At 35.5% G+C, this 15,522-nt stretch overlaps 1 annotated feature.

Annotated features, from left to right (window-relative positions):
- Positions 13,964–14,133: an enhancer, noted in NCBI's record as "experimental_57049 CRE fragment used in MPRA reporter constructs". NCBI's record gives its function as "activates a minimal promoter by MPRAs in K562 erythroleukemia cells, with activity observed for both the introgressed and non-introgressed 2:222124272 variant alleles {active_cell/tissue: K562}" and the evidence as "EXISTENCE:reporter gene assay evidence [ECO:0000049][PMID:34662402]".

The raw sequence follows: 15,522 nt of genomic DNA on the forward strand, positions 1-15,522 counted from the left end.
TTACGGGATTTTCAGACACATGGGAGTAAATTTAACCTCAGTTGTCTTTTAAAATGTAATCTGAGAAAACAATATAACACAACTTTTATTTACCTTTAAACGTAATTTTCTTAGTTTCTCTGCCACCATAAAAGATTTTCAATACCAATCTCTATCTTATACAATGTGTGTCTAAGAAAAGAAAAACTGATAATTACCAATTCTGTTTTATGAGGTTATACCATAAAGCCAAATGGGACAAGAAGAATATGTTAACATAACTTTGGGCCAGTGCAGTAGCTCATGCCTGTAATCCCAGCACTTTAGGGGGCCGAGGCTGGAGGATCGCCTGAGCCCAGAAATTCAAGACCAGCCTGAGCAACATAGGGAAACCCTGTCTCTCCAAAAAATACAAAAATTAGGTAGGTGTGGTGGGGCATGCCTGTAGCCTCAGCTACTCCAAAGGCTGAGGTGGGAGGATTGCTTGAGGCTGGGAGGTTGAGACTACATGAGCCATGAACATGCCACTGCTCTCCAGCCTGGGCAACAGAGCAAGACCCTGTCTCAATTTTTTTTTTTTTAAATCTATAAACACATTTATTTTTTAAAAATCCACAAACATACCTTTGGAGGTTGTATCAGTCAAGATCCCCTTAGGAAGACAGAAACTACTTTAGGTGCTCCAAACACAGGGAATTCAATACAAACAATTTATAATACAGATGATTAAAAAATGTGTTTTTGTTGTTTTTGTTTTTTGAGACATAGTCTTGCTCTGTCACCCAGACTGGAGTGCAGTGGCGTGATTTCAGCTCATTTCAACCTCTGCCTCCCGAATTTTTTAAGCGATTCTCCTATCTTAGCCTCCTGAGTAGCTGGGACTACAGGTGCATGCCACCATGCCTGGGTAATCTTTGAATTTTTTTTTTTTTTTAGTAGAGACGGGGTTTCACCGTGTTAGCCAGGATAGTCTTACAGGTATTACAGGCGTGAGCCACCAAGCAATGGAGAGATTAGCAATAGCAGACAGCCAATACCAGCCCTAGGGCAAAAAGTACAATGACAAAAGGTGGTTTTACTGGACCCCAGGATTAGGTACCACACAGCCGGGGCAGGGAGGATGGTGAGTTGTCTGGTAGGATCTGAGAAGCATGAGGTGAGGAAAGTCTTGGAAATGGGGCTAGAGAGGTGATGTGGCCACCCCCAGACACTCAGTCGGGGCAGGAGGGAGAAGTTATAATACCCTCATGTTTCCTTTTTCCCACCCTTCACTCCACAACCAGTGGTGCTTCTCTTGACCAGACCTACTCAGAAGCCAGTGGTCCATAAAGAATAGAAAATGTAGGCTGGGAGTAGTGGATCACGCCTGTAATCCCAGTGCATTGGGAGGCTGAGGGACATGGATTGCTTAAGATCAGGAGTTCAAGGCCAGCCTGGGCAACATGGCAAAACCCCATCTCTACGAAAAATACACAAATTAGCCAAGTGTGGTGGCGTGTGCCTATAGTCCTAGCTAGTTGGGAGGCTGATGTGGGAGGACAACTTGAGCCCAGGAGGTGAAGGTTGCAGTGAGCTATGATCGTGCCACTGCATTTCAGCCTGGGTGACAGAGCCAGACCCTGTCTCAAAAAAGAAAAACAAACAAACAAACAAACAAAAAAGAGTTTTTTGTAATACACAACAAAGCAGAAGGAATAGATCAGACAGTGAACAAGTGTGTAACTGAAATTATGAACATGCAAAAACTCTCAATATAATATGTGTAATTAATCTAGCAATATATTTTAAAACATCATAATCAAGTCACTTGATTAAGGAGTGCTACAGTTATTCCACATCAAAAAACCAGTAAATTTAATTTAAAAACAGTAACAGTAAAAAATCTATACATGCAGAAAAGTCATTTGATAAAATTCCTGACAAACTAAGAATAAAAAGGAATGTTCTTAACCCAATGAAGAGCACCAGCTAAGCCTAGAACAAGCATAATAAATTATTAATGATGTAATTTTCAAAGATTTCCCATTCAATCTGGAATGTTATAAAGATGTCCTCTATTTCCCATTTATTCAGCATTATAAAACAGACTCTAATCACTTTTTTAAGAAAATAAATAAGCATATGATTTTAAAAGGAAGAAGTGTTATAATTTACAGATGTCTTACATTTTTTACAGAAAAACCTAGAGATTCTACAGATAAACCATTAAAACGGGTTAGAAAGTTCAGCGCATTTACATAATATAGATAAAGATAAAAATTTAATAGCTCTCTTATACACTAGCAATAACTGACTGAAAAACAGAACTGTCAAAAGAGAAATTCATAATAGCCATGAAAATGTAAAATATCTAGAAGTTAGTTATCAAAATTATACAAGTATTTTAGGCAGAGAATTTTAAAAGTTGCCGTAAAATGAGACCTCAGTAAATGTTTGTGTATTCCATTTTCATGGAAGGAAAAATTCAATAAGTTGTCAATTCCCCACCAAAAACAATGCAACTCAAAAAAAACATAATGAATATGATTCTTCATCAGATTAACAAAGAGATTCTAAAATTTACATGAAGATAGACATGAACAAGAACACACAAGACTATTTAGAAGAAGATGGGGAAAACTTGTCCTATAAGATACCAATGCTTACTATGCTTTAGTAATTAAAACTACACAGTACTGGCACAGCGATAGTCAAATATGTAAGTGGGACAAAATAGATGGTCCCCAAATAAGTAGTAAATGCTATTATATATAATAGGGAAGAAATTACTAAATTGGGAAAATGAAATGGACTAGTCAATAAATGTTGTTAGGACAACTGGCTTTCCATATGGAAGGAAATATAATTATATACCGACTTCACACCATGCATGAAATTAAACTCCAGATGGATTAAAAAACAAACAATGAAAAAGAAGAATTTAAGTTATTAAAAGAAACTGCAGAATAATATACAAAATTTTTACAGCTTGAGCATACTGGATTTCCCTAGCTCACTTCACTTAGGTATCTGCTGAAATGCCCAACTCCTTGGTCAAGTTTTCATGAAGAATTTATCTGTGGCTATGCACCCCTGTCATCTGATTTCATCTCATTGTATTCTATAAATTATATTTAAATGCTTATGCAGTGCTTACTATGTGCTAGGCAGTTTATATACTATATATACTTTGTGTGTGTGTGTGTGTGTGTGTGTGTGTATATATATATATATACATATACATATAGTCATTTAATTCTTCCAAATTATTGAAAACATTTCATATCTAGTCAAGTGTGTTAGTCTGTTCTTATGCTGCTAATAAAGACATATCCAAAACTGGGTAATTTATAAAGAAAAAGAGGTTTAATTGACTCACAATTCCATGTAGCTGAGGAGGTATCATAATCATGATGGAAGGCAAGGAGGAGCAAGGCACATCTTACATGGTGGCTGGCAAGAAAGAGCATGTGCAGGGGAACTCCCCTTTATAAAACCATCAGATCTCCTGAGACTTATTCACTATCACAAGAACAGCTTGGGAAAGACCTGCCTCCGTGGTTCAATTACCTCCCACCAAATCCTTCCCACAATAAATGGGAATTATAGGAGCTACAATTCAAGATGAGATTTGGGTAGGAACACAGCCAAACAATATCATTGACATTATTAAGATTTCTACTTTATAAGTGAGGAAACTGAGGCACAGAGCAGATAATGAGTAACTGCCCTCAGCTATTAAGTGGCAGAGCCAGGATGCAAACCCAGGCGATCCAGCTGCAAATGCTGTGCCCTTAATTTTGTTGCTATGTTGTCCTTTCTGTTTTATTTTTTCTCTATAGTAGTTATCAATACCTGAGATTAAGTTTGCAATGAGTATGGTTATCTGTATCTTGCCTAAATTTGCAATGAGTATGGTTATCTGCATCTTGCCTATCTTTCCCATTACGTTTTAACCACTATAATCTTAAGTGCCTGGAAGAATGCCTGTAGCATAACAGATGTTCAAAAACTATTTTTGAATGAATCGTGTAAAAAAAGAGAAAGAGATTTCTTAAAGAAATTATCAAAACTAGAAACCATACAGTAAAATGTGATAAACTTGACTCCATCAAAATATAAAATTTCATTATTAGAAACTATAGCATGAATAAAGTTAAAAAGTAAGCAAAAAAATGAAAGAAGGTATTTGCAATGCAGGTGATTAGAAATCAGGAAATATATGAAGCGTTTCTACAAATCAATAAGAAAAAAACCGTTTAATAGAAGAATGGAAGAAAACAAACTATGAATACACAACTCACAGGAGAGGTGGAAAAGAGTCAATAAACATGAAAATTTGCTTGACCTCTCTAGTAATTAGGGAATTGAAAATAAAAACAGTAACCAGATAATATTCCCCACATTAGAACACTAAAAAAACTTAAATAACTGAGAATATCAAATTAGAATGTGGAGACGGGGGAAGTTGCAAAACTGCTGATGGAAGTACAATTGCTTCAAACATGTTAAAGAATAATTTAGGAATATCTAGTAAAGTTGAAGATGTGTATACCTTATGACCCAAAATTTCTATTTCTTGGTGCATACTCACCAATACAAATACAGAAAGACATAGGTGTAACTGAAATTTACTGTACATTTTTTGTATAGTTAAAAATTTTAGAAAAAGAAAACTAAAGGTCTCTCAGTAGATGAACAAATAAATAAGAATATGGACAGTCCATAGGAATACTGTACAACAGTTAAAATGAAAAAGTAAGCACATGGATGAGTATGTGCCTAACGAACTGATCCATAAATGACAGCCATCAGCTCAAGATAAAATACAAAGACAACTACTGGAGGACTCTGGAGATTTATCGAAAGCGAGGAGACTTAAGAGGAGTCAAAACTTGAAGAAGATGATGAGCATAAAATGAGGCCCCTGTGTTTTGGAGGCTGTGTCCTGAAAGCAGTCAGTCATGGTGGCAACTGCCGTGGTGTGGGCAGCTAAATTTCTGGATGAAGCAAGCATGAAAGGAGCTGCCAGAGAGCAAGAAGGACCCCAGCAATGAAAGAGCAACAGAAGAGGAACCCCTGACCATGCATAAACTCATCCTACTTCTGGCTGATCCCTGAACCAAGCAGGCACCGGACAAACTGAACATACTAGGAACCAAGGTTTATACACTGTTGGTGGAAGTGTAAATTCAGCCATTGTGGAAAGCTGTGTGGTGATTCCTCAAAGAACAAAGATAGAATTACCATTCAACCTAGCAATCCTATTATTGGGTATATACCCCAAGGAATATAAATTGTCCCATCATAAAAACACATGCACATGTATGTTCATTGCAGCACTATTCACAATAGCAAAAACATGGAATCCACCTGTTTCCAGGTTGATGGACTCAACCATGCCCATCAATAGTAGACTGGATAAAGAAAATGCAATACATATACACCATGGAATAGTATGCAGTCATTAAAAAGAACAAGATCATGTCCTTTGCAGCAACATGGATGGAGATGGTGAACATTATCTTAAGCAAACTAACACAGGAACAAAAAACCAAATACCTCATGTTTTCACTTATACGTGAGAGCTGAATAATGAAAACACATAGACACTATGAGGGAAACAACAGATGCTAGGGCCTACTTGAGGGTGGAGGACAGGAGAGAGAGGATCAGAAAAAAATATCTATTGGGTACTATGCGTAGAACCCAGGTGATGAAATTATCGTACACCAAACCACCGTGATACAAGTTTACCTATATAAAAAACCTGCACATGTACCCCTGATCCTAAAATAAAAGTTAAAAGAAAAATGAGAGAAAAAATCCTTAACTGAGCTGAGGCATGATATCTGAAAATGTGTGTCTATCCAAATTTATTCTCTCCTAAAAAGAGACACCAATACTTTGGGTAGAACAATGTAATTGAATTGAGTTAACACAACACATTTTCAAGGTCCTGGATAATATCCCAAAATAAGATTTTTAAAAAGCCAAGAAAATGTGAACTATTCTCAAGGAAAAAGATAAGTAATAGATGCCAACACCAAGATGATCCAGATTCTGAAACTATCAGACAAAGTCTTTAATGCAATACCTATAATGATGGTCAGTAAGGTAAAGACAAATAAACTTAAAATGAACAAAAATACAGTAAAATTTCAGCAAAGAAATAGAACATATGAAAAAGTCCTAAAATAGATCCAGTGTTAATCGTATTAACTTTATTACATATAAAATACAACTTTTTAATATATTTTAATAATATTTACTAAATGGTCCTATAGAAAAATGATTAATCTATTAATCAACTTGAAATAGATTAATGAAAAGCATGCAACTTGAATACAGAAGAAAAAAAGAAAAATAATAAAGGGTTTCAGAGAATCGTGAAACAAATTCAGAAAGCTTAATATGCAGGTAAACAGAGTCACAGTAGGAGAAGAGACAATGATACAGAGAAAATAACTTGGGAAATTTTTTAAAAATTAAAGGTATATCTACCATATGATCCTTGGCATTTTCTCAAGAGAAAATGAAAACATGTCAACACAATGACATGTGCATGAATGTTCATAACAGCTAAGTTCAAGGTGGTCAAAAACTGCAAACAGCCCAGTGTCCATTAACAGGTGAGTGGATACACAAAATGCGGTCATCCATGCATTGGAATACCACTCCTCAATAAAAAGGGAAAACATACTGAAACATACAATATCAATGAATCTCATAATCAGTTTGATTAAGGGAGGAAGGTAGACACAAGGAAATGCATATAATATGATATAATATATATAGAATTCAAACTAATATATAGTGACCAACAGCAATTCAGTAGTTGCCTTGAGTGAGGGGCAAAAGGGAAAGGAATGAGGAATGTTTTGGATGTGATGGAATGTTTTATAATTTGATTTTGCTGGTGGATTTATGAATGTGTACAACGTATTCAATTGTACACTTTAAATAGAGATCATTTGCATACGTTAGTGCTAAATAAAATTGGTAGGAAAAATAAAATGGATGTATGAGATATACATATGTGAATATATTCAGTAAATATAGAATCTAGTTCTTAATATTAAATAAAAAGCTACTTATAGAAGTTGATCCATAGCTACAGTATGATACCACTTGTATACAGTTGTAAGGTGCACAAAAATACCATGACATATATATCATATATTTTATATATAATAATACATAGTATATGTCATATATTATATGTAACTATGTGTTATATATGGGTTACGGATAAATTTTTATTTGTTCAGCAAATATGTGAGAACCTATTCTACTAAGGTTACCAAAGATAAAGCAGTGGTCAAAATCTCTGCCCTCCAGAAGCTTCTGTGCTAGTACATTGAAAGTTTACATAATAAACTTAATGATAGTGGCTGTTTCTGTGGAGGGAGGGAAGAAAGGAGAGAGAGCTAAGACTGGGAAAAGCTACATAAGGGATGTGAACTTTAAAATAATAATTCTTATTCTGAAGCATTTTCAAAAAGGTCAATATTTGTGCATTTCAAGTGGTGAAAACATGAGTATGTTATATTTGGTCCTTTGCAATGTTCTATATTTGTTTTAACATACAGTCAAATGTGATGAAAATGTGGTAAATCTAACAACCTGAGGAATTAAATTATGGATCTAGATTTAGCATTGATTGACAGATAAATAAAACTAAATACACACCTTCATTCAAGCTTCATTATTTCCTTGACTTTTATAGAGAAGGAAAAGCTACATAATCTGAGAAATAGTAGAGAAAATGTGTCTTCTGTTATTTGAAAAGGGCATAAATGTGGGTGAGGGGAATTTTTGAAGAACAGATGCCAAAATATTAAGAAGTTATTTCTGTCTATTGCAATTCAGGGAATTTTCTTAGTTTGTTTTTGCTACTATAAGGAAATATACCTGAGACTGGGTGATTTAGAATAAACAGATATTTATTGTCTCCCAGTTCTGGTGACTGGGAAGTTCAAGATCAAAAGGCCAGTCTCTGGCAAGGGCCTCCTTGTTGCATCATCTCATGGCAGAAGGCAGAAAGTCAAGAGAGGGCAAGAGAGAGGCTGAACTTGACCTTTTATAACAGGACTTATCACCTCTTAAAGGTCCCACCTCTTAGTACTGTTACCATGGCAATTAAATTTCAACAAATGTTTTAGAAAAGACAAACATTTAAATCTGAGCAGGGATTCTAATTTTCTTTTTTATTAATTTGTTTCTGTGTATTTTCTAATTCTTTAAGTTGTGTGAACATCTATTTCTTAAAAGAAAAAAATGTTTATAGTACTAATAATATTAGTTTAAGAATATTGTGATTAGCTACTACCTGAAGAGTCTTATTATATTTATATATTGTGTATAAATAATCATAGCCATCTAATTACTATAAAAACACAAAAGCTGGCATCAAACAATAGAAGGCAAATAAATAATCATTGTAGATCCAAAATATATACAAGTGTGAGAAATTTTTATTATACATATGTATACATATATAGACCATTTTTGTACCTATGTTCTTCAGATATTTACACTAAATAACTGGCTAGAGAATCTTTGGTTCAAAGAGTTGCCAAATCTTTACTATTTACACATTTCCAAAATGGGCATCATTATGCACAAATCATTTTGCTTTGTTTGTATTATCTAGTTTAGATTTTTCAAGGAGAATCACTAGGTTAAAAGATACAACTTTTTTTAAATGTATCTATCTATTTGGACATTTTCTTTATTGCCAAATTCTCTTTCCAGACTAAGGTACCAATTTACACTGTTATGAGTAGTGTATGAAGCTGCCCACTTATATGCCTTGGATAACTGAGCATATTTTCAAGCTTTTTTTACTTTGATAAGAGAACCAGGATCTCTTGCTCTGAAATGATTCGGGTTAAGGTTGTGCCATAGTCAGCCCAAGCCAATTACTTCCCTAGATTTCTCCAGTTCAGAGCCAGTCACTCTGCGTGCTCCTGCATCACTTCATCTAACTGAGATCAGGTTACACTGGGGAGCTTCAAGGTCACTGGAGTTCAGCCTTTGGAGTATGTGCAGATGCAGGGAGGGGCATTTCCACTTCAGGTCCTCAGTGGCTTATATTGCCTTAAGGCTTGCCCGTCACACTGTGGTATTGAGAGCAGTTGAGAGAGAGACGTCAGCACCTCTCCTACTTACCCCTCCCACTGTCTTCCTGAGCTATTGCTCAGTGTTATATGTGGGATCCTCAAAACCAAGGGGTCAGAATTCTCTTTTTACCCTAGCAATGGTTAAAACTATAAATGTCTTTACTGTTTAATTCCTTTTCTACCTGGGTTAGAAACACTACATCCTCTTTCCCATGCCCTGCCTTTCTTATTTCTAGCCTCTTTCACTAATAGAAAATACAGATAGTCTTCATTTAGATGCTGGAATGTGTTTCTAGAGTTGGGAACATCTACTGATCAATATGGGGGAAAGTCCTTCACAGCAGAGTGCCTATTACATTTCCAACAACATTTAGTACTTATTGATATGCAATTAACGTAGAATTAAGGGTTTGTTAAGTCATGTCTTCTATCTTCCTCTCATCTAAAAAAAACTGCTCTAATAGTGGATTTTGATTGAAACAAGGCAGTGGTTCTTAATGGAGGTACTATTGCCACCAGAGAACCATTTAGATATGTAGAGGGATGACTTAGAATCATAATGATGGAATGACACTACTGACATGTATGGAGGTATGCACCAGGGTTGCTAGGTGGGCAACAGTGAACAGGAGAGTCTCAAATAAGTAATAGTCTGCTTGCAATTAACTGGGCTTGGATGCTCACTCTCCTTGATATATAGACACAGAGTATTATTTGCATGTTCCTAACACACAATGAATATTTCAGAAATGGAATTGATGAGGTGAAAGGAAAATCGGACTTTGTTTTACTTAGAATATTAGTAAGTGTTGTTCACCATTTAAGAACACCACAGCACTCATGTTAACACCAAAGCAACCCACTGTCAGCATTCCCATGGATCCATGCATAGGCACAAGCATCTGTCAGATTCTGTTTTCTATCGTGATTGTGACCTAGCAGATATCTATTGAAATATAAAAATTGAACATATGTATATATACGATTTTTATTATAAAATACATATCCTTTATTTCTTTATAATATTATACTTAGAGTATTATATTGATTTATGAAATTATATATATGGAAAATGGCTTATAGATTTTATTTCAGGATAATCTCAGGGACATCACAAAATATTATAAAAGAACATCTTTGGGTGAGATAAGGCTAAAAACCCTTTGTCTAGAGAATAATCCTTAGCCGCCCAACCAGCTCCTCAGCCTAATGAGTAGTTAAGTGTGCACCTTGACCTCCAGCTGGGTTCTTGAACTGGAAAAATAATCCAACATTTGTTCATCCTTTGGAAAACGAACTATTTGCCAAGAATCAGAAAACCATCACCAGAAAAAGGATAGTAATAGTGTATTCTCTCTTTTCTCTCTCTAGCTCCCTCTCTCTCTCTCTGTATCACTGTCCCCTCCACACTCACCCCGCCCCCACACATGCATCCCTCTCTCTGGCAAACAAAGAAACTGCAAACAAAGGAATAACTTGGCAAGTGCTGCTCTGTTTGAGAAAAACGAAGAGAGAGTTGCCCAGGCTAACTGAGTTCTCTCCACACCAACCAATCTTTTTGTTTTTCTCTCTCCATAAGATGTCTTTACGCTTTTCCACATTGGCTTAACCTCTACTTGTTGTCTGTGATTTTGCCCAAGTCCTGCGCTCACTATAAAGCCCTTCTTGGAAAGCAGGAGCCATGGACAATTATGCTCCTTTGAACTTCTCAGTTCCTTTGAACTCGTCTCTCCCTCTCCCCTTAGAGCTTATCTTCTCAGCTCGATTCTAAGCTGTTTAAAGCAAGGAATGTGTTTATGTTCCGTTATAGCTTTTAAAATGTCTACCACGTAGTGGCATTTAGGAATTATTTGCTTTGTATTGTATTTTGAAGTCAACTAGTGTGATGCCTCCAGCTTTGTTCTTTTTGCTCAATATAGCTTTGGCTATTCCAGGTCTTTTGTGGTACCATACAAATTTTAGGATTTTTGAACATATATTTCCATGAAGAATGTCATTGGTATTTTGATAGGGATGGTATTAAATCTGTAGATTGTTTTTGGGTAGTATGGACATTTTAATGATTTAATTCTTTCAATCCATGAACACAGAAAACCTTTTCACTGATTTATGTCTTCTTTAATTTCTTTCATCAATGTTTTATGGTTTTTGTTGTAGAGACCTTTTATCTCCTTGGTAAAGTTTATTCCTAATTTTTTTGTAGCTATTGTAAATAAGACTTTTAAAATTTCTTTTTCAGAGAGTTTCCTCTTGATGTGTAAAAACATTTCTAAGTTTTGTATGCTGATTTGGTATCCTGAAACTTTATTGAGTTTATTATCTTGATCAAAAGAATAAAGCTGAAGGCATCACACTTCCTGACTTCAAAATATACTACAAAGCTATAGTAACCAAAACAGTATGATGCTGGCATAAAAACAGACACGTAGACTAAAGGATCAATAGAAAGCCCATAAATAAACTCATGCATCTACATCCAAATCATTTTTGACAAAGGTGCCAAGAATACACAATGAAGAAAGGACAGTCTCTTTAATAAATGGTTGTGAGCCAGTTAGAATGGTGATCATTAAAAAGTCAGGAAACAACAGGTGCTGGAGAGGATGTGGAGAAATAGGAACACTTTGACACTGTTGGTGGGACTGTAAACTAGTTCAACCATTGTGGAAGTCAGTGTAGCAATTCTTCAAGGATCTTGAACTAGAAATACCATTTGACCCAGCCATCCCATTAGTGGGTATATACCCAAAGGATTATAAATCATGCTGCTATAAAGACACATGTACACGTATGTTTATTGTGGCACTATTCACAATAGCAAAGACTTGGAACCAACCCAAATGTCCATCAATGATAGACTGGATTAAGAAAATGTGGCTCATATACACCATGGAATACCATGAAGCCATAAAAAAGGATGAGTTCATGTCCTCTGTAGGGACATGGATGAAGCTGGAAACCATCATTCTCAGCAAACTATCGCAAGGACAGAAAACCAAACACCACATGTTCTTATTCATAACTGGGAATTGAACAATGAGAATACTTGGACACAGGAAGGGGAACATCACACACCGGGGCCTATTGTGGGGTGGGGGAGGGGGGAGGGATAGCATTAGGAGATATACCTAATGTAAATGAGGAGTTAATGGGTGGAGCACACCAACATGGCACATATATACATATGTAACAAACCTGCACATTGTGCACATGTACCCTAAAACTTAAAGTATAATTAAAAATATAAATAAATGGTTGTGAGAAAACTGGACATCATATGCAGAAGAATGAAATTAGACCCTTGTCTCACACCATATACAAAAGTTAACTTAGAATGGATTAAAGACTTAAATTTAAGAGCCAAAACTATAAACTTCTAGAATAAAACCTGTGAATATGGGCAACAACTTTGTGGATAAGACCTTAAAATCATAGGCAACAAAAGTGAAAATAAACAAAGAGAATTACATCAAACTGAAAAAAAAAAAGTATGCACAGCAAAAAAAAAAAAAAAATCAGTAGAGTGAAGAGACAACCTACAGAATGAGAGAAAATACATACATACATACATACCTCATAAAATACAAATTGCATACATCAGATAAGGGGCTATTATCCAAAATATACAAAGAACCAAAACTACTCTATAACAAGGAAACAAATAACTCTATTAAAAAATAGGCAGAGAACTTGAAGAGACAGTTCTCAAAAGACATACAAATGGCCAACAGATATATGAAAAAGTGATCAACATTTCTAAGCATCAGAGAAATGAAAATAAAAATCATAATGAGATATCATTTTACCACTGTTAGAATGGCTATTATCAAAATGATGAAAGATAACAAGTAAAGATGTGGCTAAAAGGAAACCCGTATACACTGTTATTATTAGTGTAAATTAGTTACAGCCATTTTGTAAAACAGTATGAAGATTCCTCAATAAAACTAAAAATAATCCCAGCTACTCCAGAGGCTGAGACAGGAGAATCGCTTGAACCCAGGAGGCAGATGTTGCGGTGAGCTGAGATGGTGCCATTGCACTCCAGCCTGGGCAACAAGAGCAAAACTCAGTCTCAAAAAAAAAGAATTATTACGTAATCCAGCAATGCCACTACTAGTTGTATACCCAAATGAATTGATATCAGTATGTTGAAAAGATATCTACTCTCCCATGTTCATTTCAGTCCTATTTACAATATCCAAGACATGGAAACAACCTAAGTATCCAACAATGGATGATTAGATTTTAAAATATTGTGTGTGTGTGTGTGTGTGTGTGTGTGTGTGTGTGTGTCTGTGTATAGATAGATACATAGAGAGAGAGAGATAGATAGACAGATAGATAGATAGAGAGTATTCAGCCATTAAAAACAAAAACAGGAAATTCTTTCATTTGCAACAACATGGATGAACCAAGAGGAGACTATGTTAAGTGAAATAGTGTCACAGAGAGACAGGGACAAAGAGACAAATAATGTATGATCTCAGTCATACTTGATATCTGGAAGAGTTGACCTTATACAAGTAGAGAATAGAATGGTGGTTACTAGAGTCTGAGTGAGGTGTGGGGGAGGGTGACTGGGGAAAGAAGAGCTGTTGGTTTGTGAGTACAAAGTTACAATTGGGAGAAATAAGTTTTGAAGATCTTTTTGCACATTAGAGGGAATATAGTGATTAATAACATACTGTATATTTTAAAATAGCTAAAAGAAAGGATTCTAAATGTTCTCACCACAAAGAAATGATAAATGTTTGAGATGCCAAATATGTTAATTATCCTGATTTGATTATTAAAAAAGTGTATCTGCATTGAAATGCATTGTACCCCATAAGTATATACAATTATTTGTCAATTAAAAATAAATTCTTAAAAAGTTATCTGCTGATAAAGAAGTTGCAGTTCTAACATTTACCCCAATCAACACTTTTCTTATAAACAGATTCCCAATTCCTATTCCCAGATATGCCTAGCAGTGTTTCTGATATCTGTTACTCTTAGGAGCACTGACCAGCTTCAGAGAAGGCAACTGCCTCTGTGGACCCAGGGAAGGAACAAGGGACTTGGAATGATTAAGAGCGGTAAGCTGTATGTTTCACACTGAGACAGAACATCAACACACAGCATCCCTAGGTTCTGAAATAGCCCTCACATACTCAGGTGTCTATAGGGCGATAATATATTCCAATTTGTCTGGAACTGTCCCGGTTTTTCTCTTTTGTCTCAACGTGATTAGTTACAAAGACTTTCATGCTCAACATTGTCAGGTGTGGACATGACACATTGCTCCTGATGGAGGGGCTCCAGGCAGGCACCCCACATGGGTGAGGCTGGCAGGTGAGGGCTGTGGAGCTCTGGAGAGAGCATGGCAGGTCCAAAGAGGTTCCTGTCTATGACTGCTACATGCAATTGTTGGGCCCGATGTTGTGAGATCTTTTTATGTTTTCAGAGAAGTCAAAAATTACACTTTCAAGTGTTGGGAACTAATTCTGTTAAAAGACTATTGTTTTGATTAAAAAAATTAAAAACTGTGAGGATCAGCTTTGGCTTAAAGGTGCTGGTTTAAAACTGTTCAGTAGAAAAATGAGATGACTATACTTGACAATAATTGATTGTATTATTTTGAAATAGCTAGAAGACTTGGAATGTTCCCAACACAAAAAAAAAATGATAAATGTTTGAGGTGGTGAATATCCCAATTACCTAGCTTTGATCATTACACATTGTACGCTTTTATGAAAATGTCATATGCACCCCACAAATGTATACAATGATTAAATCCATATAAATTAAAAATAAATTTCAAAAATACCTTTTAAAAAGGTATTCTCTGTAAGGGACTACCTGGATCCTGGTCCTTCTACCCCTGAAGATGTCTCTCTATGAGCTTGGTTCATTTTATTAAGGAAAAAATTTAGGATTAGGGGTGGGTAAGAGGGTCTAAATCTTGGCTTTATTACTCACTAGCAGTGTAACCTCAGAAAAACAGTCACAAACTTATGCTGTCTCATCTATAAAATAATAAACATGGGCTAGATGCCACCTAGATGCCTCTAAGCTCTAAGAGTCTGTAATTCTTTCATTCTGACCTTAACTCTTGCTTTTGTTTTGTCTAACACATTCATCATCCACGCTGAGAATCCTAAAAGGGTGTTAGTTATATTTTCTGTTCCTTAAAAATGAAATTTGTTCTCCTATTCATTTCTCAGGTGTCTGGCTCCTAATAGATGTACTACTAATACTGATTACCAATAATTTTAGTACTGAGTAGTACTAAAATATCACCCTAAAGCAGAATATATAACTCTATTAATTTTTAACCCAATAATTGAATGTCCTTCCCTTTGTATGTATTATTACTATTATTACAAATTACACATAGGCGAAAATTTGAAGAAAACATAACAACTTTTTACTGGATTTGTGTTAGCTAGTGAGA

Source organism: Homo sapiens, chromosome 2, assembly GCF_000001405.40.
Source record: "Homo sapiens chromosome 2, GRCh38.p14 Primary Assembly".
Lineage (NCBI taxonomy): Eukaryota > Metazoa > Chordata > Mammalia > Primates > Hominidae > Homo > Homo sapiens.